Source organism: Homo sapiens, chromosome 8 (assembly GCF_000001405.40).
Source record: "Homo sapiens chromosome 8, GRCh38.p14 Primary Assembly".
Classification (NCBI taxonomy): Eukaryota; Metazoa; Chordata; class Mammalia; order Primates; family Hominidae; genus Homo; species Homo sapiens.
Window position 1 is genome coordinate 30,209,794 of NC_000008.11, and position 2,719 is coordinate 30,212,512.

General features: G+C 47.8%; 1 annotated feature.

Annotated features, from left to right (window-relative positions):
• Window positions 1,110-1,611: an enhancer, noted in NCBI's record as "H3K4me1 hESC enhancer chr8:30068419-30068920 (GRCh37/hg19 assembly coordinates)". NCBI's record gives its function as "activates a minimal SCP1, AML or CMV promoter by ChIP-STARR-seq in naive H9 embryonic stem cells {active_cell/tissue: H9 hESC(naive)}" and the evidence as "EXISTENCE:reporter gene assay evidence [ECO:0000049][PMID:30033119]".

Genomic DNA, 2,719 nt, shown 5'->3' on the forward strand with positions numbered 1-2,719 from the left:
TTAAGAAGCTTTTTTTCTTGTTTTTCTCCTGGAATGTTCCTACCAAAAGATCAAAGCCATGCTCAGAAAAATGTTTGCCTAGTATCTACACAGATTTTTTTTTCTTTTTTTGAGGCAGAGTCTTGCTTTGTTGCCCAGGTCAGAGTGCAGTGGTGTGATCTCAGCTTCCTGAAGTCTTGAAATCCCAGCCTGGGCTCAAGCAAAATCCCCTCCTGCCTCAACCTCCCTAGTAGCTTGGACTACAGGCATGCACTGCCACATCTGGCTAATTTTAGTATTTTTTGTAGAGATGGGGTTTTGCCATGTTGCCCAGGCTGGTCTCCAGCTCCTGGGCTCAAGTGATCCACCTGCTTTGGCCTCCAAAATTGTGGGGATTATAGGTGTTACACCATGCCTGGCTTTTTTTTTTTTTTTTTTTTTTTGAGACAGGGCATTGCTCTGTCACCCAGGCTGGAGTGCCATGGTGCCATCATAGCTCACTACAGCCTCAAACTCCTAGGCTCAAGCAATCTTCCCACTTCAGCCTCCTGAGTAGCTAGGACCACAGGCGTGCACCACCATACCTTGCTAATTTTTAAATTTTTGTAGAGATGGGGTCTCACTATGTTGCCCAAGCTGGTCACAAACTCTTGGCCTCAAGGAATCCTCCTGCCCCGGCCTCCCAAAGTGCTGGAATTACAGGGATAAGTCACTGCACCCAGCCAACAATTGCTATTTATTAATATTATTGTTATACAGATCCTCAGTAAATTTCAAATGAGAGCAGAGTTTCTAAATTACAGCAGAGCACTATTAAAATATTGGAGAGTTTGGGATTTGAGGAGGTATAATGGAAGAAATCTCGTTTGTTAAGTGGAGACAGAAACCCAATTCTTTTTTTTTTTTTTTTTTTTTTGAGATAGTGTCTTGCTCTGTCACCCATGCTGGATTGCAGTGGCATAATCACTACTCACTGCAGCCTCAACCTCCTGGGGTCAAGTAATCCTCCCGCCTCAGCCTCCCGAGTAATTGGGACCACAGGCACATGCCACCATGCCTGGCTAATTTTTAAATTATTTTCTGTAGAGACAGAGTTTCACTATGTTGCCCAGGCTGGTCATGAACTCCTGGGCTCAAGCAATCCTCCTGCCTCAGCCTCCCAAGTGCTGAGATTACAGGCATGAGTTGCTGCACCCAACTGCAGCTATTTTAAAATCCCAGCTTGCTCCCTGGTGAGCTAGATCTGTCAACTTGGAAGTCAGCCTCATTCTCCGCTGCCTCCCTCTGCCTTCCACGCCCACCCCTGCCTTTCTTTCTATAGATGATTTATACTAGGATCTCCTAATGGCTCCCTTTACTTCAGTTAGTTTGAGTGGGGTTTCAGTCAGACACTCGAGAACAAAGACCACTGACTAATGCAGGCAGGGGGAGCTGAGCAGTTAGGGACAGGGCACAGAAGCCAAAAGACCATAGAGAGGCAGAGACCAAACCGCGTCCCAAGCACCCACTCAGGGTCTGGCACACAGTAGGCCCTCAAAGAGGATTTGGCGAATCAATGGCAGAGAGGCAGCCAATGAGAGCACCTGCTCCTCAGTGCACAGAAAAGTGGCCCTGCTGCCGGGGCCACTCTGCACCCCGAGCTCACCCCCGGACCTGAGCTTCATCCCACACAGAGTGGGTCCTCGCTGTGTGTCTGCCCCAGGTTGCCATGAGGCTGGGAGGGCCGTGCCGGGATGAACTGTTTACAATTAACTTGGCCATCACCCTCTGCACACTTTAGATGGTCCCAGTGAGTCTCTTGCAACCAAGTGCCTCATTTGCTTTATGTCCCAAGAACTGCACCATAAGGTTGACGGGGAAGACTGGGGAGGTGTTGGTCAAAGGACACAAAATATCAGACAGGAGGAATAGTTCAAGAGATGCATTGGACATTGTATTAGTTCACTTTCACACTGCTATAAAGAACTGCCTGAGACTGGGTAATTTATAAAGGAAAGAGGTTTAATTGACTCACAGTTCCACATGACTGGGGAGACCTCAGGAAACTTACAATCATGGCAGAAGGCGAAGCAGGGGCAAGGACTTTCTTCACAAGGTGGCGGGAGTGGGGCGGGGGTGGGATACATGGAGAGAACTGCCTTTTTTTTTTTTTTTTTTTTTTGAGACGGAGTTTTGCTCTTGTTGCCCAGGCTGGAGTGCAATGGTGTGATCTTGGCTCACCACAACCTCTGCCTCCTGGATTCAAGTGATTCTCCTGCCTCAGCCTCACTAGTAGCTGGGATTACAGGCATGTGCCAACATGCCCGACTAATTTTGTATTTTTAGTGGTGACAGGGTTTCTCCATGTTGGTCAGGCTGGTCTCAAACTCCTGACCTCAGGTGATCCGCCTGTCTCAGCCTCCCAAAGTGCTGGGATTACAGGCGTGAGCCACCGTGCCTGGCCATAAGAGAACCACTTTTAAACCATCACACGTCGTCGTAAGAACTCAGTATCACAAGAATAGCAAGGGGGAAATCCACCCCCGTGATCCAATCACCTCCCACCAGGCCCCTCCCCTGACACATGGGGATTACAATTCGAGGTGAGGTTTGGGTGGGGACAGAGAGTCAAACCGTATCAGACATCATGGTGACTACAGTTAATAACAATGTATTGTATTCTTGAAAATTGCCAAGAGTACATTTTATGTGTTCTCACCACCAAAAAATAAGTATATGAGGTAATGCACGTGTGAAATAG